This window comes from Homo sapiens, chromosome 1 (genome assembly GCF_000001405.40).
Source record: "Homo sapiens chromosome 1, GRCh38.p14 Primary Assembly".
Classification (NCBI taxonomy): Eukaryota; Metazoa; Chordata; class Mammalia; order Primates; family Hominidae; genus Homo; species Homo sapiens.
The window spans coordinates 41,418,656-41,441,657 of record NC_000001.11 but is presented as its reverse complement, the minus strand read 5'-3'; the positions used below and the strand labels follow the sequence as shown (position 1 = coordinate 41,441,657).

The following is a 23,002-nucleotide window of genomic DNA, read 5'->3' as shown; positions in this document are numbered from 1 at the left end:
TCCCAAAGTTCTGGGATTACAGGTATAAGCCACTGCGCCCAGCCTACATGAATATTTACAGAGTGCCTACTATGTGCCACATACTGTCTTAGGTGCTGAGAATATGAAGATAAATAAGAAATTCAAGATTTCTTTCCCCATGCAATTTACATGTAGTATAAGCGACAGGCAATAAATGAACAGATGTATAAATGAATAAATAATCTCAAGGATCACTGTCACGAAGGTGGGGGAAGCAGGGTAAATAGAAAGAGTGGCTCAGGAAGGACTGCTTTCTATAAAGAGGTCAGGAAAGACTACTTAGAAATGCAGAATCTCAGACCTCAACTGAGACCTCTTAATTCAGAATCTGCATTTTAACAAGATCCCTTAGATAATTGGCATGTACATTAGAGATTAAGAAGCACTAGGTTAAAATATACTAACATAGACATGACAAGGTAGGAAAAAGAAAATGAAGGGAAATACTACATCTCCTTCTGCTGCTGGTTATCACATAACAGTTGGCATTTATTAGTTTCCTGTTTTCCCAGGCAGGGTCCTTTACCTGGCAAGATGACTTAAACAGTTATTCCTATGGATCTGAGACTGGGCGGGGCCTGCCCACCTAGAGCTAGAAAGGTCTTCAGTTACTTTTAGATTACAACAGTTTCCATACTGTTACTCTCTGCTCCCACTAAGCATGGGAAAGCTGATTTCCTCTTAGGAGTCAAAGTCAATAACCCCAGCCAAATCATAACTCCTTTTCTCTGCTTGTTCACTCAGCAACATAAGGAGTTTTAAATGACCAGCTGGCATTCTCAACTTCCAATTCAGTGGAAGCTGAATTGGAATTCAACTTACATCCCCTAGTAGAAGTGCTCCTTCCTTGGGTACTAGCCCTTCTAAGCCCCAAGTTTCAGGAGTGATTGGGTGGAACTGTGAGAGGCACCACCCTGCTTCTGCTTCCTGGCTCCCCTGGCCATGGATCTAGCTTTGTTAAGAGTGTCTATGGCATCCTGTAAAATGGCACTGCAGCTTCACAGTGGTTTGTATTCTTCCATCTGCTTCTGGAATTGATTCGTCATTAGGTCATTCTGTAATTCTATTGGTCCAGCTGTTTCTGGGCAATGGGGCACCTAGTATGACCAATGGATCTAATTGGCTTCAGTCCACTGATGTACTTCTCTCTGTGTAAAATAAATTTCTTGGCCCAAAGCAATGTTGTAGGCGACACCCTGACAGTGGAGAAGGAATTTGGTGAGTCTGCAGATGATGCTGCTGGAAGAATTATGGATTATGGCAGGCAGGGAAAGCGAATCCAAATCCAGAATAAGTGATTATGCCAGTGAGGACAGATCCCAGTCCCCTTCCAGGAAGAAAGGAGTCTGATGTCATCCATCCACCACCAGTGACATTGTTGGCCAACTTGTTTATTGAGTCCATTGAGCAAATACTGGGGTGCCTGAGAAAAGAGGCTAATTGGCATCCACAAAGTGGGTCACATCTTGTCCATCTGTTCATTAAGATCCTTCCAGGGTTGTTAGGAGCGTCTGGTGAGTGCTCTCATGGGATGTAAGTATGCGTATGATGCTGGATCCATTCTAAGAGTCCAACCACATGCCTCTTCCAAGCTTCCTTTTTACCTATCCTTCAGTCTTGTCTCTTCCAAGTCCCTGTTCATCTGTCCAAATCATTAGCCACTTACCATGAATCACTGCAGAACTTAGGCCTTCTGCTCTTCCAGATCAAGAGAGTAAAATATAACACTCAAAGTACTACCCAGTGTGAGGATTTCCCTACTCTGTCCTTCAGGGATACTCTAAATGGGGTTATAATATCACAAGGTCTTGCTTCCAGCTGGTGCCAGCATACCATGCAGAGTCCTTTGTAAACCAGGCTCAGAATTTTTTCTCTTCGATAAGTTGGCTATAGGGCATTTCTGTGAGCACAAATGTAGGCTGAGAAAGCCACAGCATGCTGGAAGAGTGAACCACTTGCTCATGCAATGTACCTGTGCTTTCAGGATGTGCCCAGGGCCAGACCCATTTATACCATTTCCACTTGAGAGAGGGGCGTTGCTGGGCATGCTCAGTTTAATGGCTAGGTGGGTCAGACGACATAGCGGGTAGCTTGGATTAAATGGTTACCTTGTAGTCTATGGTCAGATGCTTAGCCTCTGACAGTGCCAAGGGGCAAGCCAGGAACTGTTTCTCAAAAGGTGAATGGTTATTTGCCAAAGAAGCCATGGCCTTGCTCCAAAAATGAAGGGCCTTTACTGCGGTTCTCCTATCTTGCCTTGCCAAAGGCTCCGTGCAGCATCACAGTCTGCCACAGACTCTTCGAGCACCATTGAATCTAATGGATCCTAAGGACTTGGTTTGGAGTCTTAGCCAGCTCTGACCCCATTCAAAGCAAGACACTTTTGATTGCTCAGGAAATAGTTTGAAGTAGCAGACACATATGTGGTATATGTTGCCTCTAAAATCTAGAATAGCCCACCCAGTGATATGCCTTTTAGTGGTCGGGGATGCAAAGTTCAACAACCTTCATTTATTTGTTCCTCGTTTTGAAGGGAATATTCTGAATTTCCTAAGACATTATGTCCACAAACTTAACTGAGACCCCTGTATTTTCACAGGCTGTTCCTCCCTCATTCTGGAAAACAATTGTATTTCAAGGTACCTGCTGTTTTATGATCTCTAGGACCTATCAGCATGACATCACCAGTGTACTGCACCAGTGTGATGCCTATAAAAAGATGAAATGATCAAGGTCCCCATGAACTAACTTATGGCATAGAGTTGGAGAGTTGACTCAGCCCTGAGGCAAGATGGCAGGTGTGCTGTTGTTTGTCCCTGCCATGAGAAAATAAAGTAGTTCTGATGTTCTCTGGTGATCAGGATATAGGAGGGAAAATAGTTTCTGGGTGTCAAATCTACATTAATTTGTTCCAATCATGAGACCGCTTTTGGAACATTGTGGAACTATAATTGGAATCACCACCTGATTAATTATAATCATCCATTTTCATTTTTCAAGACTCATCCAATTTACACGCTGGCCAAACTAGAAAGTTAACTGGAAGCACAATCCCTGCATGTTTCTTTCACAGTCATGTTATCTTTGTGGTTCTGTTTAATATGCATTAGTGCCCTTGACTTACTATTTTGATGTGATTTGGGAACCTATAGTGGCTTTCCCTTGGCCTGTCCTTGCTCTATGGGTCAGGGAACCATGCAGTAAATCTGCCAATCCGGAGAGTATCTATTCTAACTCTGTACTGAGAACCTGGGGAAGTACCCACTGATAGTACTGCTGCCTCTCAGGGAGCAGACTCAGATCAACATTCCATTCAGCATCTGATCCCTGTAAACCCCCACTCTCATTGGTAAATCTCTGGGTAATCTGGGTCTTTAGAAATTAGCATTAATTCAGGGTTAATTTTCAAGAGATCTAGGATCTTCGCCAGTACACTGTTATTCTGAAATATGGCCACAGGTCCTTTTGGAGAGGAACAAGAGAAGGTTTAAGGAACTAAATTATATTATTAGATAGTGTTTCCTCAACGCTGACCACTCCATTCAAGGGATCCAGGTTCCGAATTTTTTTTTTTTTTTTTTTTTTTTTTAGACAGAGTCTCACTCTGTCACCCAGGCTGGAGTACAGTAGCTCAATCACAGTTCACTGTAGCCTCAACCTTCTGGGCTCAGGTGATCCTCCTGCCTCAGCCTCCCAAGTAGCTAGGATTACAGGCACATGCCATCATGCCTGACTAATTTTTATGATTCTATTTTTTTTTGTAGAGATGGGGTCTCCCTACATTGCCCAGGCTGCTCTCAACCTCCTGGGTTCAAGCAATCCTCCCACTTCGGCCTCCCAAACTGTTGGGATTACAGGCACGATCCACTGTGCCCAGCCTGGTACGACATATCGAGTGGGGTGAGGGTCTGACATTTTTTATTGTAATGGCTTATTTTCCATTGATATAAGGGGTTTATTTAACAATGGCAACTACCACCAGCATGCCTAATACACAGAGAACAGCCTTTGGGTGGGGCAGAGGGGTTCAAAGAGGTTGGCACTCCCCTCCTCAATGATAATGTATAAGGTCTTAGACAAGGGAGTAACTTCTGGGGTCTCTTAAGGGTCAGGGTTTGGGATAGGAGGACATCTTTCTCCTGAATTTCTTACATCAAGAAATCTCTCCCAGCTCCTGGGAGTTTTGAATCCAGCATATTGAATCCACAGCTCAGACAGGCTCATTGACATCAAGAAATTAAGGCCACTGGTGCCATAGAACAGAATTGAGGGCAGAAGGAATTCTAGAACTGTGAATTGAAATGTCTGTTTTTAATGGCACCAGACAGCCTAAAGAAAGAAAACAGGGATGAAAAATCCCTAGGTCCTTACCTCAAGGCATGGACCCAAACCCGGGAACTTTCTATGGTTTTCCCCCTTGCAAATGAACACCCTTAGGCAAGGAGTCTTGACTTGAGCTGAAACAGCCCCTTTAAGAGCGGAGAAGGGCCAGCTTGGCCAGCACGGGACACTCTGTAGAGCTTGGAAGTCTGGGTCTCTGAGTGCACCATCCTGTCTGCCCTCATTCTGATTCTCAACTCTCACCTCTTCTGGATTAATTCCTGACATCAGATCTAAAATGATATTCCTTCTGATAAACCATCCGCATGTGGTATGCCCAGGATTTTGCCAAGACAAGTTAGTAAAGTCTTGTAATTCTGTTGGTAAGTAAACTTTCTCCTCCAAAGTTTGTCTTTATAATTGGTCAACAGGAACATGCTGGAATCTGATCTAGTCACAAGCCTGGAAGCACAAGCAGGGAGTGTTGTTTTCTGCCTTGCAAATGAATACCCTTAGGCAAGGAATCTTGACTGGAGCTAGAACAACCCCTTTAAGAGGGGAGAAGGGCCAGCTTGGCCAGCATGGGACACTCTGTAGGGCTTGGAAGTCTGGGTCTCTGAGTGCACCATCCTGTCTACCTCATTCTGATTCTCAACTCTCACCTCTTCTGGATTAATTCCTGATATTTATGTAAAAACCCTGCAAAGTTTGGGAATTCAACTAATATTGTAACTCAGCAACCCACCAGATCAAAGTAGGCATCTGGTGTTTGGTCGTGTCTGCCCTGCCTTGATAGGAGATGAGATTCTTTTTCCAGACCGTAGAAAGTTCTCGAGTTTGGGTCCATGCCTTGGGCTAAGGCTCTAGGGATTTTTCATCGCATTTCCTTTCTTTAAGCTGTCTGGTACCATTAAAAACAGTCCTTGAATTCCTTCTGCCCTTAATTCTGTTCTCTGGCACCAGTGGCCTTTGAAGTCTTGCCTTTGATGGGCACTTCATTTTAGGTGACCACAAGGGGCAAACCTTACCCCAGGACTCAGCACCTGCTGCAAACACTTGGCTGATCTCACCCACCCAGTCTCTCCCCACTGCTTCGATGCTGGGCCCACTGGGTGGGCTGATTGTTCAGGATGAAATCCCTGCTTCCCATCCCGTAGTCCCCACTGTTTCAGGGACCCGGGCTCTTTCTGGCAGGAAAAGTTCCCACCCATCCCAATCTTAGCCTGCTAATCCAGCCTGCAGTATCCTGCACATGAACTGCTGCCTCTCAACCCATCCCTCAGCCAGGATGCCGGCACCCAGCCTCACCCCCAGAAGCCAGAGCTCCAGACCTGGCCCAACGAGGCACCAAGAAACCAATCTTGGCAGGCTTTTAACCCAAAACCCCACAGGAGCCGGCTCTAGGGGACACTGTGTGGGCTGAGGGTGGCAGGGGGCGGCACAGGGCAGGAGATGACAAAGCCAGACACAAGATTCCAGACTAGATAAGCTGCTGGGAATGGGGAGGGGGCCTGGGTGCAGCATTCCTGGGCGGTGACGCCATCTCCCTAGCCATAGAGGGCGGCAGGCAGGAGCCTCTGGTTCCCCCCGGGAGGACTCGTCCTTGCCGCTATCTGATGAGGGAGCTGTCGGTTACAGGAAGACAAGACTATTAACAGGACAACTCTGGAGAGCCAGAAATTAACCCACCACGCCAGAGGCGGGAGGTGCTGGGTGGGGTGGATAATTGAGGGGCCTTGCAATTAAGGCAGCTTCAGGTTGAACCAGCCATTCTCAGAGCTGGGACTGGGATCCTAGTCAGCTGGGGGCCCCAGAGGACTTTGGGAAGGGGAGTTCAGTCCCTGCTCCCCACCATTCCTGCTCACCCGGGCCTCACCTCCCACCCTCCATCCAGCCACACATGGAATTCACACCTTTGCTCATGCTGTTCCTCCCATCTGGAATGCCTTTCCTTCTCCACCTCACTCAGTCCTGCTCTTATTTCAAGACCCTGCACAGGCCCTGTCTTATTCAAGAAATTTTCCTGTACCAATCCGATTGGAAGAGATTGCTCTGATCTTGCACAATACAGCCCCTTGATGTTATGGTGAGAACACAGACTCAGAGAGGGGCAGTGATTTGCCCAGAGTCACACAGCAGAACCAGGGCTAGAACTCAAGACTCCTGAATCCCAGAAATCCCAGACTAAGATTCTTTCCACCACATCGTGAGCTCTCCAACCAATAATCAGCCTGAACATCTTGTGCAAAACTCAGGACATAGAATGAACGCCTCCAGGGGTTCAAGGAGGATATGACCATATTTATCAAGCATCTGTTTCATCCCAAATTCTCTGCAGGGATTGGAGCTGCCAAGGCAAGCAGGCACAGAGGCAACCCTGTTCTCAGGGAGCTTGCGGTCTGTGGGACAGAGAAGACTGCCATAGGGTCACCCAAAGGTTTGTTTAGTAATAACCAAGAAAGGGCCCAAAGAAGAGGCCGCAGACTGCCAGGAGCTTGCAGCAGAGGCATTCAACCCTGCCGGGGGCTCAGGACAAGCCTCTCTAGAGATGCTGTGCCTGGGCTGAGATTTGGAGAGTGAGTAGGTGGCAACCAGGCAATGAGGTGGGATGGGAAAGAACACTCCAGACAGAGGGAAAGGTCAACAAAGGAAGTCCAGGATGGCTGGACCTCCAAGTGAGGGGAAGGCGCCCTGAAATCTAACGGGGTCGTCATAGGGCCCAGATAATGCAGGACCTCCAGCAGAGACATGTGTTCTTCCTCCTAAAAGCACTGAGAAGCCCCTGCAGGATTTTCAGCAAGGAACCACATGTGAGCCTGATAAAGTCATTAGCTGCAGTGTGGGGAAAGGGTTGGAAAGGAGCTAGACGAATGTGGGAACCGCCAACAGGCTCCTGCACCAGTCCAGTGGGCAGTCAAGGAAGGAGGCAGCAGGAGTGTGTGAGGATGGAATCTTCTGGGGCTGTGGGTCTGGGGACTAGGGAAGGAGTTGAGGGAGAGAAAGGAATCAAGGAAACCCCACCTGGGTTTCTGGTCTGTGCAGTGAGTGGAGGGTGGGCAGTTACTAGGGTGGGGTAAGGAGCTGAGGGTGAGATAAGCTGAGTTTGAGCTGCTTTTGAGCTACTGCAGCTCAGAGGAGTTAGGGACCGAGAGGTGAGAGGGCAAGTGTAGATGCAACCCAGACTGTGGTGGGTGTGGGCACGAGGTACCTACTCTGAGTTGCACCTTCTCATGGAGCTCCTTTAACAGGGTGTCATTGCTCCATTTTCCAGAAGATGAAACTGAGGCTCAGACAATGGAAAACAGTTTTCCAGGAGTTTCTTCGATAAGAACTTGGTGAAATCAAGATTGGAACTGGATCTGCCTCCCAACACCCCTACCTACTTTTCCCACCTGAAGCTGACCTTAAGATGCCTCCATGGCCTGAGCTTGACCCAGAGAAACCGAGTCAGAAGCTCCTTATGCAGATGGGGCTGCAGGGAGCTCATTAGCATAGGCACTCAGAGGGAACCACTCCCTTCAAGGAAAGAAAGGCAAGGAAGACAGCCTGGAGGTGAGCAGAGTCCCTGTCCCTGTAGTCAAGGCTACTGACCCCCCCAACCCGTCTGCCCATCGCACAAACATGCACTGATGCCAGCTTTGCACTGGGCCCTCTGCTGGGCCCTTCACACCCAAGAGGGGTGCACTGCTCCCATTGCACAGTTGAGGAAATGAAGGCCAAGAGAGAAGACGGTCACAAAGTGAGTTAGTGTAGAAAAGGACCCAGGAGTTTCTGGCTCCAGAATCTCAGCTTGCCCTCTCCAAGAGCTGCAAGGGGTTCAGTGAGCAGCTGGTGGAGGAGGCAGTGAGGGGCCCTGGGCTGCAGGGGGCAGGGGGCCCAGGGAGTGTAAAAGGACAGGAGGGAGGTGGGTTGGCATCTGAGAGCCTTGTAGCCAGCCTAGGATCCACGATAGCATATCTTTGCCTCTTCCCTGCCCACTCAGGCCCAAGGCAGTATCCAGGCGTCCCATCCCCACCTGGCCTGTTGTGTCCAGTTCTCCTGTCAAGCTTCATCTGGGGCATTATGGCCAGAGCTGGAGCCTCTGGTGCCTTTCTTCAGAAGAGACCTGAACAAAGGGACCTCAGACAGAGCCAGCACTGGCCTTGTTGGGTGGGGAGGGAGCTGACTCATGTGGTCTGTGGAAGGGTGCCAATGCCCAGCCCTCAGCCTGGGGAAGCCAAGCCTGGGAGGGAGTGGACCCTGCTGTGTGAATCTCGGGGGTAGGGTGGGAAGGCCTGGCTGTGCAGAAGTGGCCAGTGCCCTGCAGAACCTGAGGGATGGCACGGAAGGGGCAGGGCTTGGAGAGCCAGATCTGGAGGGAGGGGAACGAACTCCAGGGGACAGGCACAAGGCAGACGTGGTCTGGGCCAGCAGGGGGCGCTGCAGCAGCAGAAATGGCCCCATGGCCAGCAGGGAGCCTGCCGAGCCTGAGGTGAGTCAGAGGTTACTCAGGCTTCATGACCCTGGAGCAGGGCAGAAAAAAGCCACCCACTCCACAGACCCGGCTACTGAGGCACAGCCCTAGCACAGGAGACCCACTGTGGGGTCATGAACAGGCCTGAGTTCTCAAGAACAGACTGAGCTTGAATCCTGGTTGCTCCTCTCTGTGTGACCTTGGGTGAGTGACGGTCAGCCCCGGCCATAACACAGTACTGCAGACTTGGCAGCTCGCAACAGAAACTCATTTCTCCCAGCGGTGGCGGCTGGGCAGCCTGGCGCGGGGCCATTTCTGGAGCGGGCCCTCCTCCTGGCCTGCCCTGTACACTCACATGGAGAGAGCGTTCCGGTCCCTCTTCCTCTTGTTATAAGGCCGCGGTCCTGTGGGATTATGACCTCATTTTACCTTCATTACCTCCTAAAGACCGCGTCCCACATATAGTCACATAGAGGGTTAGAGCTTCCATATATGAATGTGGGGGCAGCAGGGGCACAATTCAGTCCGCAGCAGCAACTCCTTTCCTCCAAAGCTCCAGCTGCCACCTCTGTAGAGTGAAGATCCTCAAGGCGCTTGCCCTGTGGGGTTGCGAGGCATTAACGGGATCGTGCAGGTGAGGCCCAGCCTCTGGCACGGTGTAAGCGTCCATGAGAAACAGGCAAAGTCCTCCCCCAGGAGCAAAGCAGGGGTGCAGGCATCTGGACCAGCTCGGGGATGTCCACGTCTCCTGAGCCACACAGGGCAGGGTAGGGACCTGGCTTATGGCAGAGCGGAGCCTTCGGAGCAGGAGGGGGCTCCAGAGCCAGGAAGGCAGGGAGAACACCAGGAATGGGGCTGGCCCCTTGCCAGATCCGCTCCATTTGACCAGCGGACACTTATCAAGCCCCTGCCTCGTGCCAGGCAATGTCAGGCGCAGAGGTTTCAGGGGAGGAGGCATGCTGGTCCTGCCCTCCAGACCCCGGCAGGGGGCACCTCCCGCTGGTGTGTCCTGGGAGCATCTGTCCTGCATTGAGACCGGCTGAGTATCCCCTGGTGTCAATGACTTCTCTTTCCCTGTCATTCCCAGGAAAGCTCCTTTGCTTCAAACTAACCCCATGAGGTTGGTATTGGTGTCCAGCTACAGAAAATGGAAGGCTCAGAGACGTTAAGTGACTTACCCAAGATCACACAGTAGAAACCGAGTTTATCTGATTCCAGAGCCCATGTTCTTTCCAGTGTACACACTGCCTAGAGCTGACTCACTATTCCTTCTCTATGATGGGCCCATCTAGGACCAGAAGGAGGCTTTGGAAGAACCTTCCACAGTGAGCACTTGGGGGTCCTGATGCCCCCTGAGAAACCTCATGTCCTGGGTTTCTGGCTCTGCTGCAGATTGGATGATCTTGGGAAAGTCTCTTGTACCAAGCCTCAGTTTTCACCTCCCTCGGATGGGGCTAGGAGTTCATCACAAAGCACAGGATAGAGCACACCCCCTTCCCCCTCACTCCTCACCTCTACTTGCTCCATTCCAAAGACCCACCCTCAGGATCAGCCCCCACCCAGGGGCAGGCAGCGGCTGTGCTGAAGGGTCCTCCACCTTCTCACGGGCATGGTCCCATGAAGATTAAGGACACAGGCGCCCAGAGTGAGATGCTCTCTTGATGTGCTGGGCACCCCTGGAGGATTCCTGAAGGCCCTCAGCAGACCAGCTCCAGCTGGGGAGAAACAGCATCTGGGGGCACAAGAGACCCAGGACCAGGGGCTACCCTGGCCTGCTCTGGGCTCCTTCCTTGGTCTCTGGACCTTCGGGGCTCCCCTGGCCACAGGGGACATTGCAGACTTGGCCTGGCTTGGAAAGGGCCCTCAGCCCTGGTACACCCAAATAATAATTAAATTCCCTGGTCAAGCCCATTGGATCAGATGAACTCCCTTCATGTGAATATGGACATCAGCCAGCTGAAATGCCACACCCACTGCCCACCTTTTCCCCAGCCCTTGCGCTGAAGATCCTATAGGGGAAAGCTACTACTTCCACTAAAAACGATTCTGTGCTTTGGAAAATACGTGCAAGAGTTGCAGGCAAAAGAACTGCCAAGACGCCCCACAGCCAAGCCTGAGGTAAGACTGTAAGTGCTTTGGAAAGAATTTCTGGCAACCCAGGTACAACATTTTTAACTGAGATGTCCAGTGTTCCTCAGAGAAGGGCAGCATTAGAAAATTCAACATCTGTCAGCCTCACAGGATCTGGCAGTGGGAGAGCCTGCACCCTGGCCATGGTGGCACACCTGGTTCTTGTCTGCATCCAGAAGCAGTTTCGGTTTTAGTTGCATAAAATAGAGGTCTCTCTATCTCTCTCCCCACTGACCCACTATAAAAGTAATGCTTGTTTAAATAAACTTGGTAAATATGACAATAAGGAAAAAACATAGAAAAGTCCCCAGCTCTGTCTCACCCCAAGCGTCCTCGACATTCGCTGACATCCTTTTGTTCCTTTGCTTACCCCTGTGCTTTAGATGGTGCTCTGTCGTCTCCTGCTCAGTACATGTAAGATTTCATGAGCATTTCCCTTTCATTCTAAGTTCTTTCTCCTCCAAGAGGCTGATCCCATGGCTCACAATCTGAAAATTGTTTCCTGCTATTCTGCACAAAGCTGTGATGCATACCTTTGTGCCAAAAGCTGTTCTCAAATTTTAAAATATTTCCTTCAGATTGCTTTTTCAGAGTGGTATGGCTGATCAGATGGGAGAGGAGTGTGGAAGGTTCTAGATCCAAAGACCCTCTTGAAAGGGTGATTCTTTGCACCTGTGAGAGCCAGAGACGGTCACAGGAAAGATGGCCCCTCAAACCGAGAGCCTTCTACAATTTGTCCTTGAAATGGCCAGAGGACATCCCCAGGGATACTCTCCCTTCTGCTGAGGCCCACAAGGATGGGGACGTCACAAGTGGCCCTAGAAAGAGGACTGGGGCTCCTGACCCTGACAGAGGCTCACAGTTGCTTCATCTCAGAAGCAGCAGCCCCATCGGCTGGGGATTTCTCGTGGGGCTTGAAGTCGGTCATGTGACTGTCATTTTTTTGCCACTGACAAGCTGTGTAACCTTGTGCAAATTACTTAACCTTTCTGAACCCATTTCTACATCTGGAGAATGGCTACAATAATGGCACTGGCTTTCCTTGGGTTGCTGTAAACATTAAGTGGAGTGTTGTTTGCAGCACCCTGAGCCCAGGGTTGGCTACACCACTGCGGTGTCCCACGTAAGCAGTGACGCACGCATTGGAACTGCTGTAATGACTACTTCCACTGCATATTCATTCCACTCTGTCCCAGAGCCTTCCACTGACTTCTCAGTCTTCATTTCTTCAGGGTAAATAGGGCTGAGCATGGTTCCCTCCTCCTAAAGTTGTTGGAACGGAGCCAACACGTGTCAACTGCACAGGCTTCGTGGTAGCTTACTCGGCATGTTGTTGGTATCCTCCAGTGGAGGAACTCGCTACCTTTGGATCAGGCTTCAGGGGCAGCCAAAGCCTGTTTCTGGCTCTACAGAACATGCTGGCTCCAACTTCCACAGAACTCCTCCAGTTCCAAACCCCAAGATCCTGGGGTCGCACAGCACTGAGGTGCAGTCCCAGGTTCATCTCTCCCAGCTGTGTGTCCTTGAACAAGTGCATCAGCCTCTCTGAGGAGCCTCAGGCTCCTCATGTGTAAAGCAGGGGCTTCAATCATGGGGTTGTTAGGAAGAGCAAACAAACTCACGAGGCACACAGGAGATGTTCATTATACATGAATTTCCTTTCCCCTGCAGATCCTGAAGGGATTCTGTGTTTACAGGGGAATGAGAAAGATTTAAGAGAAAAAGCCTAAATTCTGGGCAAAATCAAGATGCCTGCTTGAGCAGTGGGGAATCAGCGTTCTCAGCCCTGCCTGCTTCTATCTCTGAGGCTGCTTGGAAACACTGGTTGAGTCCCGGATTCAGCCCCAGCGCCCGACAGTATGGCCCAGAGGCCTGGTTTTTAGCCGCTTCATGGCTCTTCTGCCTCTATGAAGAGAATGGTGATGGGGATGGGGATGATGTCATTGGGCACACAGTTATTAATGCCTGTGTACCAGGCCCTGTGGAAGGCTCCAGGGTTAGAGATGAGGTCCCCACTCCAGAGACCTTCTGTTCTCATGGTGGCTGGAAATAAAGACTGCAAATTAAGGAAGTAAGATGAGCTAAGCTGAGATGAGCTGGCAAGTGAAGGAAATAAACAGGAGGACGCAACAGAACAAGGGAAGGGCTGACTTCCGCTGGAGAGGACATGTTTGGGCGGAGATTTGATGGAGGAGAAGGGGCCCACCAAGACTAGGGGTGCAAAGGTGCTGGGCGGGGAATCAGGCATGATGTGCACGAGAAACAGCAAAGAAGCCAGGGGCCGGGATGTGGTGACCCAGGCTAGTGGGCAGGAGCCAGATCTCCACCGCTCAGCCTGGAGCACAAAGCAGTGGGGTTTTGATGAAAGGATGAAGTGGGGAAAGACAGCAGGTCTGTTCTGTGTGGCTCATGTGGGCAGCTCCAGAGGGGCAGCTTCCAGCTCACCATAAGGCCAGCCTTCCAGATGGACAGAACCATCTAAAGGTGGAAACGGATTCTTCATAAGGAAGTGAGCTTCCCACAGCCAGAGGCATGCAAGCCGGAGGAACAGATTGCTTGGAAGGGAGCTCCGGGTCGCACTGGGCTGCACACATTCATTCACTTGGTCACTCAGTGGACAGTGGACAGTTGTGGATGCTGCTGTGACCAGCCCTGTGCTGGATGCTGGGGTGACTGAGATGGGTCTGTTGTGCCACTGCTTTTGTGGAGGTCATGGCCCAATGGGGAGGAAACCCTGGGAAGAGGGTGGAAAGGATTTGGGGTCATCAGAAGGGGGACAGAGCAAGCATGAGGGCCACAGAGGAAGGAGTGAGAGGAGGAGGACGGGGAGGCGGGGAGAGAGAGGGAGGAGGGAGCATTTGTGGCTTGAGGGAGCGTCATGGTAGACGGGCACGCACAGGAGATGGGTTCCTGGACTCCCCCACCCCCTGGCTGTGTGACTGGCTGCGCCTGCTCCTCATGTGCTAAATGGGAGCAGGAACCCCAGCTGCATGTCCCTCTTGGAATGCGGCTGGCTGTGGCAGGCAAGGGCTCCGAACTTTTGTTGCTGCTAAAGATTCACAGGAATGTTGGACAACCAACGCACTGTGCCCAGAGCAGAGAACTGGGGCAGCCTCGGAGGGGCCTCGAAGTCCTGCTGGGGACTCTCAAGGATGGCCCGCTAGGAGCTCGGCTTGACCTGAGAAGAACCACCACACGCCCCTTCCTGCCCCGGAGGCCTGAGGATGGGAGATGGGTGAGACAGGACAGTGGGCCTCCTAGCCTGCCTCTTGCTGCTCAGCCCTGGGGAGGGAGGCCCATGCTCGGTGGCATTTCCAGAGCCAGTGGGCACAAGGGTGGGAGCTGGGGGCTGGCACCGATCACAGTTCCAGAGCCAACTGCTCATTAATCCACCTCCCACATTGGCTTCAAAATAACTCATTCAGCCTAGAAGAACTGCTGGCCGCCTGCCAGGGAGGGCCCCAGAGGAGGGGCCCACAGAGCCTTCTCATAGGCGGCCCCCCACACTGCAGGCAGGGACCCCGACAGGAGGACAAGAGATGCCCCTGTTCTGAGGAATGTGCCCCTTCCTCATCATGGGGACTTCCCCCACTATGGCTCTGCCATGGACAGGTGAGGAAACTGAGGCTCCAAGGGGACAAGGATGACCCAGCAAATCAGACGGGGGCTGCTCTGCAGTGGGCATGGAGGAGGGACACTTAGAGAGGCTGAAAAGAGGGGGCAGAGAGAGCGCCTCTTGGGGTTCCATTGGCCTTCTGCCAAGAGGAAGACGCTAGCACCCTGCGATCCAGCCAGAGGGGCCCAAGGCTGAGGTGAGGAGGGACTCCAGGCTTTAGGATGAGGCTGCCTCAAATGCTAGAACAGAGTGCTGGGACCTGAGTTCTGGATTCTGAGGTACACGTCTGTCCACCGGTGGCGGGGGCTTGGGCCACCAAGTCCAGTGCTACAGGCTCCTGTCCCTCAGAGAGCTTGGCCACAGCCAGGCCTCTAATAGAATGGTGGCCATGTCTTCCTCCTCCCACCAGGCCCGGGGACAGCCCGGAAATGGCCGGGGCTCAGGACTTACTGGTCAAGGTAGAGCTCGGGCTGAAGCAGGATGCAGCCACTGCCCTCCAGACCCTTTCTGATTCTTCCCATCAGCTGCCAAGCTGGGGAATAGCCCAGGTGCACTGGGGGAAGTAGGTGTGTATGTGCATGTGTGGGCGTCACTCAGAGAAGGCCACAGAACCCCCAGAAAGCAGGAGCTCTGCCCCACATGTCGGGTACAGGGCTGAACTCACTGCCTTCCCCGTCTGCTCCTCTCTCCCACCTCAGAGAATGAGCCCCCGTCAACTACCCGGGTTCCCACAGCAGACACTTGCTGCCTCCTCCTGCCCACCTCCTACATCCAAACCACCACCCAGTCCTGCCCAAGCCCCTCCCAACTCACATCCAAACCACCACCCAGTCCTGTCCAAGCCCCTCCCAACTCACATCCAAACTACCACCCAGTCCTGCCCAAGCCCCTCCGAACTCACATGCAAACCACCACCCAGTCCTGCCCAAGCCCCTCTGAACTCACATCCAAACCACCACCCAGTCCTGCCCAAGCCCCTCCCAACTCACATCCAAACCACCACCCAGTCCTGCCCAAGCCCCTCCGAACTCACTTCCAAACCACCACCCAGTCCTGCCCAAGCCCCTCCGAACTCTCGGAATCCATCCGCTCCTCACCCCCAGCCCACCAGAATCCAGGCCACCACTATCACCCCTTGGGACTGCTGCCAGGTCCTTGTCATGTTTCCCTGCTCAGCATATCCCCTGCTAGCACACACATACACACACATACACACACATACACCCACACCCACATACGCACACATTTATACACATATACCTACACACATATACACAGACATATACATGTGCATACACAATCTATACACACAGCTATATACATAAACATATAGCTACCTATACATATAGCTATATACATACATGCACATACACAATACACACACACACATACACAGACACACATATACACACACATACACAGATGCAATACAGACACATATACAAACACACAAATATACAAACACCTACACACATACACGTATACACATATGCATATGTACAATACATGCACATATACACAGACATATACATATGCATACACACATCTATACACACACCTATATACATACACATATACACAAACACATACACAAATACACACATACATAAACACAATATAGACACATATACACATACACACACATACACACGCATATACACCAACACATATACACATATGCACACACACATGCACACAAACACACATACACATATGTACACAGCAAGTGCACACACACATACTAGCACACACGCTTGCACAAACATATACAAACACATGCCTGCATACACAGATATATATTCACGCAAACATATACACACATACACACACATACATGCACACACATACATACATGCATGCATACATACCACACATACACACATAACACACATGCACACACACACCACACATATCTATACACCACACCAAACACCACACACACCCACACCACACATGCACAGACACGCCACACACAGACACACACAGACACACACACCACACCTACCACACATAGATATACACCACACCACACACACAACACATGCAGATACACCACATCACACACACAATACACATGCACACACACACCACACCACACCCACCACACACACAACATACATAACATAATACACACAGACACACCACACACAGACACACACACCACACATATACATCACACCACACACACAACACATGCACAGACACACCACACACAGACACACACACCACACTTACTACACATAGATATACACCACACCACACACCCACACATACACAACACACATGCACACACACACCACACACACCACACATACCACACATACCACACATAGCTATACGTCATACATACCACACACACGCACATAACACACACAACACACATGTACACACACCACACAGACATACCACACACAGACACACACAGCACATAGCATACATAGATATACACAACACACATGCACATACACAACACACGTGCGCACACACACACCACACACACACACCACACACACCACATATACCACAAATAGCTATATGCCACACATACCACACACACGCACATAACACACAACACACATGTACACACACCACGCAGACATACCACACACACATCACACATACTACACATAGGGCACACCACACCCACACAACACACACAGACACACCACAGCACACACACAAAACACACATGCACACACACACCACACACAGACACACCACATACATGGATATACACTACACAGAGACACCACATACACAGATATAGACCACACATCACACACCACACACGCACCAACACACGCCACACACACACCACACCACGTACACAATTCCATCCCACACCCCCGCCACTCACTCAGCAACCTCTTCGCCTTCATGTGGTCTGGGCAGGGTGCGGGCCAGCAGGGCGCCCCTGGGCTGCTCATCTCCACTCAGGTGTTGTGCCCCTCCGGCACAGCCGGCCTTAGCCTGAACCTAAGAAGAAAGGGCAGAGCCGCTTTTTGAGCTCGGGAGGCTGTGTGTCCTGCCAGCGGCACACAGCCCCGAGGCAGCGGCTGGGCCTGAGACACTTGGGCCTGCAGGGGACATCCCAGGAGTGCACCGGGGCTGGCCAGGCAGGGGCCTGTGGGGTGTGGGGCTGGCAGCTGGCAGCCAGCAGTGCCGCCGAACGCCCACTTGCGCCAGCCGCTAGTTTCCAGGGCCAGCTCACGAGCCAGCGGGCATGCTGGGCCCAGACGGCCCTAGGGTGTCCTGCCAGGGAGAGGCGTCCTCTGCGAGGGTGGCCTGGGAGGGGCAGGGCGGGCAGGGTCATCTGACACCTCGCATTTCCTCCAGGCAAGGACACCAGGCTGGCGGCCAGGGCCACCCCCAACTCGCAGTGTGGCCTGAGACACGCTGCAGACTTCCGTACAATCGGGGGGCGGGGGCAGGTAGAGGGTCCAGTGCTGCCGCTGAGCTGACCACCCCTTGTCGGGGATTCCGGTCCCCGGGCGCAGGGCGACGTGCGAGGGGGCCGCGGCCACAAGAGGGCATCTGAGCTTCAACCAGCAGGGAGCCGCGGCCAAGAGGCCTCCAGGTGGGGTTCAGGGGCTGAGAGTAGTTGGGGTTGAACTGGAGCTGAATCTTGCGGGAGGGGGCAGACTACCTGTGTGTGCCCCCAGGCAACCCCTTAGCCACTCTTCATCTCTTTTCATCTGATGGCAGCACTACCTTGCTTCAGGAAATATTTGCTGAGTACACACATGAATGAATGAAGTGAAGGAGGTATTATTAATAATCAGTGTTTTACAAGTAAGGAGGCAGCTCTGTGCCTACAGGGATTTGCCCAGGTCACACAGCTGGTAGGCATGGAGCCAGTGATGCCCCTGGTTCTGTCTGCCACAGAGCTTTGGAGAAAGCACCAGAAACAACCTGTGGCGTTACCAGCACCCAAGTGCTCAGAGCAGGGACAAAACCCTGGTCCTGGGCCCCTCCAGGGACCCCCTCTGCCACAGAGACCAGGCCTCTCTCTGGTCAGCACTGAGTAATAGTAATCACTAACAAGAAGGAACCCACTGCCACACACTTTACGCTCTCATGAAGCATCACTGTGCCCTGGGTTACAGAGAAGGAAGAAAAGAACTTGCCAGAGGCCACACAGCTTCTGGTTGGAACACTTTGGCCCTGGGAACCCACAATCCCCTCACCATGCTACATCTCCTGGAGACTGTTTTCCAGGAAGGAGCTCCTAGCCACGTCTCTCCAACTGTTCATCCGATGCGGTTTTCTCGCCTGCTCGGTGGCGGCAGAGGTAAATGACAACATAGCCCAGCCCCGTAGACTTCACCCAGAGGAGAAGTCAGACAAGACAGCAGGGGACTCATTCAGGGCAACGTGGGCCATTAAGGGCCCTGTGAATACAGAATCCTGATCCATGACACAATTCCATCACTAATTCCAGATTCCCATCAAGAAGCCAAAAATATAAAAACCCTTCAAGCTGCAAGCCAGGACACCCTGCCACCACTTTGGGGCAAGAACCCCTCATCCTCAGCCCCGCCCTCCCTCTCCCCGTCCCTCAGCCACCTCCTCCACTTCCCCGCGCCTCCCTCCACACCTCCACGCCCCCAGGACCTGAGGCCTGACTTGGCCTTCTCCACCAACACCTGCCTTCATCCTGGGAGTTCCCTGGACCCCTGACGACCTGGCCAACCCCCTACTTCTCCCTCATCACCAACAACTCTCTCCCTCTTTTGTACTTGGCCCAGCCAACCCCACCCATGCCATGGCCTGGGTATCCTCACTCAGAACTACCTCCCCCACCCCATATCCTCCCAACCCCATATTGGCCTGTATCCATGGCCCTCCTTCACTTAGCCCTCCTTCGCTCTCTGACCTCATCACAGCACCTTCCTTCTCCTCCTGGGGGCACTTCCCTCCCTCTCCAACCTGGACCCCAAGGAGCCTTTCTATAGCGATAGTCTTGGGCACCCACCCTGCAAAAGTCTCCCTGCCACTCTGCAAAGATGCAACCATGGGATAAACCAGCCGGCCCTCCCCGAGGAGCCCATCTGTGCCCTGAGCCCTGGACTCCACCCTTCCCTCCTCCCATCTATCCCCCTTCTTCACCTTCTCTTTCCCTGCATCAAGAAACATGCTCTAGCCTGGGCAACAAAACGAGACTTCATCTCTACTAAAAATCAAAAACATTAGCCGGGCGTGGTGGCATATGCCTATAGTCCCAGCTGCCTGTAGTACCAGCTACTCAGGAGGCTGAGGCAGGAGGATCGCTTGAGCCCAGGAGATTGAGGCTGCATTGAGCCAAGATGGCACCACTGCACCTCAGCCTGGCTCAGGCACTCTCAGAACTTCGGGAGGCCGAGGTGGGCGGGATCAAGATCAGCCTGGTCGACATGATGAAACCTCATCTCTACTAAAAATACAAAAATTAGCTGGGCGTGGTGGCGGGTGCCTGTAATCCCAGCTACTTGGGAGGCTGAGGCAGGAGAGTCACTTGAACCTAGAGGCAGAGGTTGCAGTGAGCTGAGATGGCACCACTGCACTCCAGCCTGGGCGACAGAGCAAGACTCCCCATCTCAAAAAACAAACAAACAAGAAAAAAAAAAAAACCCTTCTGAAGCCCTACACTTGGCTCCAACCAGGACCCATCTTTCTTCCCCCTTCCCAGCAAAACATATTCCAGGGTTACCTTTATGACCAGTCTCACTCTTGCACCTGCCGTCTGCTTCCCAGGCCTGCTGCTGTCCACCCCGTATTCCACCAAAATGGTTCTTACTGAGTCACTCAACACATTGTTGTTAAATACAGGGAGTGCTTTTCCATTCTCACCCTGACCAAGAGGCAGACAGCCTGACAACAACCCTGTGAAGTAGGTACTGTGATTGATTATCCCCATTTTGTAGAAGGGATACTGAGGCACAAAGAGGGTAACCGATTTGCTTGAAGTGAAATAGCAGGTAAGCCTCAGAGCTTACCAGGCTCCCTCCCCTGAATATCCCAGAAGAACCTCAGACTTGCCACAACCAAAATGAGCTCACTGACTCTGCCCTGACCTTCTTATTCCTGGCCAAGCTGGGCTCTGGATCAGACAATTAGTAGCAGCTGGACCCTGGGCGATTGTATTTAATGCCTGTGAAGTGCTTAGCACAGAGCTCAACGCAGAAATGCTCAATGAAGGCCAGCTTCTATGTGTTGCTATGACACACACATATATACCCACACATATATACAAACATATACATACATGCATGCATGTACACATACACAGACAACCCAGGGCCTGGCCACGCAGCATGCTGGCCTTTTTATACTTTATCAATCAGAGCAGCATCGATTTATAGCCCTGTGTGTTTGGCATGAATGCACTATTTTTCAAAAGCCAAAATAAAACTCCAAGAAGCTGTAAAAACCCAGGAGTTTGGAAGATTCCCTGCAGGGTCAATTAGGGTGAATTAGAACCTACAGATGTGAATCTACCCAACCACATAATGGCAACTTGGGCAGTGCACCTCGGAATGCTAATGAAGGCGGCCGCTGATGGGGAGAGAGCCAGCCTGGCCTTCCCTCTGAGGCCTGCTGGGAGGGGGCAGGACCTTGCCCACCACTGGGCTGTGTGATTGGGACAAAGCTGGGCCTCACTCTGAGCAGCAGTTTCTTCCTCTGGAGATGGGGCTACTATGTACTACTCAGGAGGGGTAAGTTCAAGTCCTTAAGTGAGGACTTAAAATTCTGTGCGCCCCCATTTTCATCCCTCAGGCAAAGATCTCAGGACTTGTGATAGTGGTTACAGTCAACATTTGCTATGTATGACTGTCTCCATAAGACAGAGTCATGCTCCCCTTCTACTGACGGAACTCAAGAGTCCCTGCTTTGGACAAGGGAGACTGCAGGAAGCTGGATCCAGTCTCAGGTATCGCACCTAGGGATGGTTACAACTTTCCTCATTCTACAGATGGAGACGATACCTGACTCACAACACCCAGGATCGTAATCTCTCTACGCATGTGACCCAGGCCCAGCACCTCCCTATGTGGTGAGGTCACAGCTCTGCCCATGGCCCTGCCTGCTCCCTCAGTGCCAACCTGCCTAGGGAAGAACATAGATCTTAGATCCAGAAAGCCCAACTCTGCACGTACAGCTGAGCAACCAGGAACAAGCCTGCCCCCTCTCTCTGAGCCTCATTTTGCCTGTCTATAAAATGAGGATGATAACTCAGGTAAAACACACACACAGTGCCTGGCACAGAGTAAGTGCCCAACCAAGGTTAGACAGTTTAAAGATCCTCACGAGCCCTTCATGAGATAGGATCTATTACCCCCCATTCTGCAGATAAGTAAACTGAGACTCAGAGAGGTTTAGCAACTTGCCAAAGGTCACAGAGCTAAGCAGCAGAAGGAGCAGGAGCTGGGGCTCAAACCAGGTCGGCTTGTCTCCAAAGGGCTCAGGATGGAAGAGGAGTAGATGGGGCCCCAATCCTGTAGGCAAGAAAAGGAAGAGGGAGGGGTAGAGAAGGGAAGGAGGAGAGAAAACAGAAGGGAGGGCTGTCATTGGCAGAGGACGCCCTGGCAGAGGTGAGGCCAGGTGCAAGCAACTGCCTTAGGCAGAGGTTCAGACCCAACAGGCGCCAGTGGGGGCAGTGCCAGGCTGGCGGTGGACGCCCTCACCCTCGCTCTGTTCTCCAGTGACCTTGCCGGCTCAGCCTGTGCCACCAGCATCCCAATGAGGTTCTGCAGGCAGGAGTTTGGGGTGGCACTCCCACATGACAGGACTCAACAGGTCCTCCCCCTGCTAGGAACAGAGTCAGGGTTCTGCTCTCCTCCCCTGGTGGCCAAGTGCCCCCAGGAGCTCTATTTGGGGCCACAGAGGCAGGAGGTGGGCCTGAGCCCCGAGCAGCCAACAGCCTGAGATGGCCCCCAACCAACCCGGGAGACCTGGGGCACCTGGAGGGTGGGTGGGGCCCACCTACAGCTGCCAGGCTCCCTGCCATTGCCTACGGTCCCCGCCCATCTCTGACAGCTGGGAATTCCTTGGGCATGACAAAGTTGACCGGGCCGGGGCTGGGAGCCTGGCCTGGCAGCCTAGGCAGGGTTCCGGTTACAGCTCTGGATGCAAGCTGGCTGTGAGTCCATGGGCACGTCACTTCCCCTCCCTGGGACTCAGCCTCGCCATGGCCAGCGGTGGCAGTGCTGGCCTAGCTAAAATGACTTTCCAGTGCAGGAAATCTCAGAATCTGGATTCACAGAAGCCAGGGCTTGGAAGGAACCTCAGGCTGTGATTTCCTAATACTGGTGTGCAGCTGACAGTGTCAAAATTACCCTGGGAATGTGTGAAAATGTAGATCTAGGGGATCCCCTCCACCCCCAGCAGAGGAGTAGACTGCGGACCCAGGCACCTGCAGATTTGACAAAAAGCATCCCAGACCCACACTCTCGGAGGGCTTCTTGCCACTTCTGCAGAGGGGA

At 52.1% G+C, this 23,002-nt stretch overlaps 1 long non-coding RNA gene across 2 annotated transcripts in view, besides 8 other annotated features; it reads right to left on the bottom strand.

Annotated features, from left to right (window-relative positions):
• The window catches only part of LOC105378678 (uncharacterized), a 38,609-nt gene extending 23,332 nt beyond the window's left edge, over positions 1-15,277 (bottom strand). Inside the window, exons 1-2 of one of the 2 annotated variants that reach the window (XR_007066029.1) lie at positions 13,370-15,277; positions 8,357-12,980 (exon numbers count right to left, since the gene is read on the bottom strand). This is a non-coding gene — a long non-coding RNA (uncharacterized LOC105378678). Of the gene's footprint in view, positions 1-8,356; positions 12,981-13,369 lie in introns of those variants that run through there. The other variant, XR_007066028.1, reaches the window with a different exon arrangement.
• Positions 6,707-7,491: an enhancer, noted in NCBI's record as "H3K27ac-H3K4me1 hESC enhancer chr1:41899838-41900622 (GRCh37/hg19 assembly coordinates)". NCBI's record gives its function as "activates a minimal SCP1, AML or CMV promoter by ChIP-STARR-seq in primed H9 embryonic stem cells {active_cell/tissue: H9 hESC(primed)}" and the evidence as "EXISTENCE:reporter gene assay evidence [ECO:0000049][PMID:30033119]".
• Positions 7,590-8,221: an enhancer, noted in NCBI's record as "H3K4me1 hESC enhancer chr1:41899108-41899739 (GRCh37/hg19 assembly coordinates)". NCBI's record gives its function as "activates a minimal SCP1, AML or CMV promoter by ChIP-STARR-seq in primed H9 embryonic stem cells {active_cell/tissue: H9 hESC(primed)}" and the evidence as "EXISTENCE:reporter gene assay evidence [ECO:0000049][PMID:30033119]".
• Positions 8,909-9,018: an enhancer, noted in NCBI's record as "active region_865". NCBI's record gives its function as "activates an Ori minimal core promoter by ATAC-STARR-seq in GM12878 lymphoblastoid cells {active_cell/tissue: GM12878}" and the evidence as "EXISTENCE:reporter gene assay evidence [ECO:0000049][PMID:35858748]".
• Positions 13,566-13,756: a silencer, noted in NCBI's record as "fragment chr1:41893573-41893763 (GRCh37/hg19 assembly coordinates)". NCBI's record gives its function as "represses an EF-1alpha promoter that drives an FKBP-Casp9 reporter gene in an ReSE screen in HepG2 liver carcinoma cells {active_cell/tissue: HepG2}" and the evidence as "EXISTENCE:reporter gene assay evidence [ECO:0000049][PMID:32094911]".
• Positions 17,217-17,774: an enhancer, noted in NCBI's record as "H3K27ac-H3K4me1 hESC enhancer chr1:41889556-41890113 (GRCh37/hg19 assembly coordinates)". NCBI's record gives its function as "activates a minimal SCP1, AML or CMV promoter by ChIP-STARR-seq in naive H9 embryonic stem cells {active_cell/tissue: H9 hESC(naive)}" and the evidence as "EXISTENCE:reporter gene assay evidence [ECO:0000049][PMID:30033119]".
• Positions 17,927-18,221: a silencer, noted in NCBI's record as "tiled region #3622; K562 Repressive non-DNase unmatched - State 20:ReprD". NCBI's record gives its function as "represses a minimal TATA promoter and a strong SV40 promoter by Sharpr-MPRA in K562 cells {active_cell/tissue: K562}" and the evidence as "EXISTENCE:reporter gene assay evidence [ECO:0000049][PMID:27701403]".
• Positions 22,407-22,701: a silencer, noted in NCBI's record as "tiled region #9429; K562 Repressive non-DNase unmatched - State 13:Ctcf". NCBI's record gives its function as "represses a minimal TATA promoter and a strong SV40 promoter by Sharpr-MPRA in K562 cells {active_cell/tissue: K562}" and the evidence as "EXISTENCE:reporter gene assay evidence [ECO:0000049][PMID:27701403]".
• Positions 22,407-22,701: an enhancer, noted in NCBI's record as "tiled region #9429; HepG2 Activating non-DNase unmatched - State 10:DNaseD". NCBI's record gives its function as "activates a minimal TATA promoter and a strong SV40 promoter by Sharpr-MPRA in HepG2 cells {active_cell/tissue: HepG2}" and the evidence as "EXISTENCE:reporter gene assay evidence [ECO:0000049][PMID:27701403]".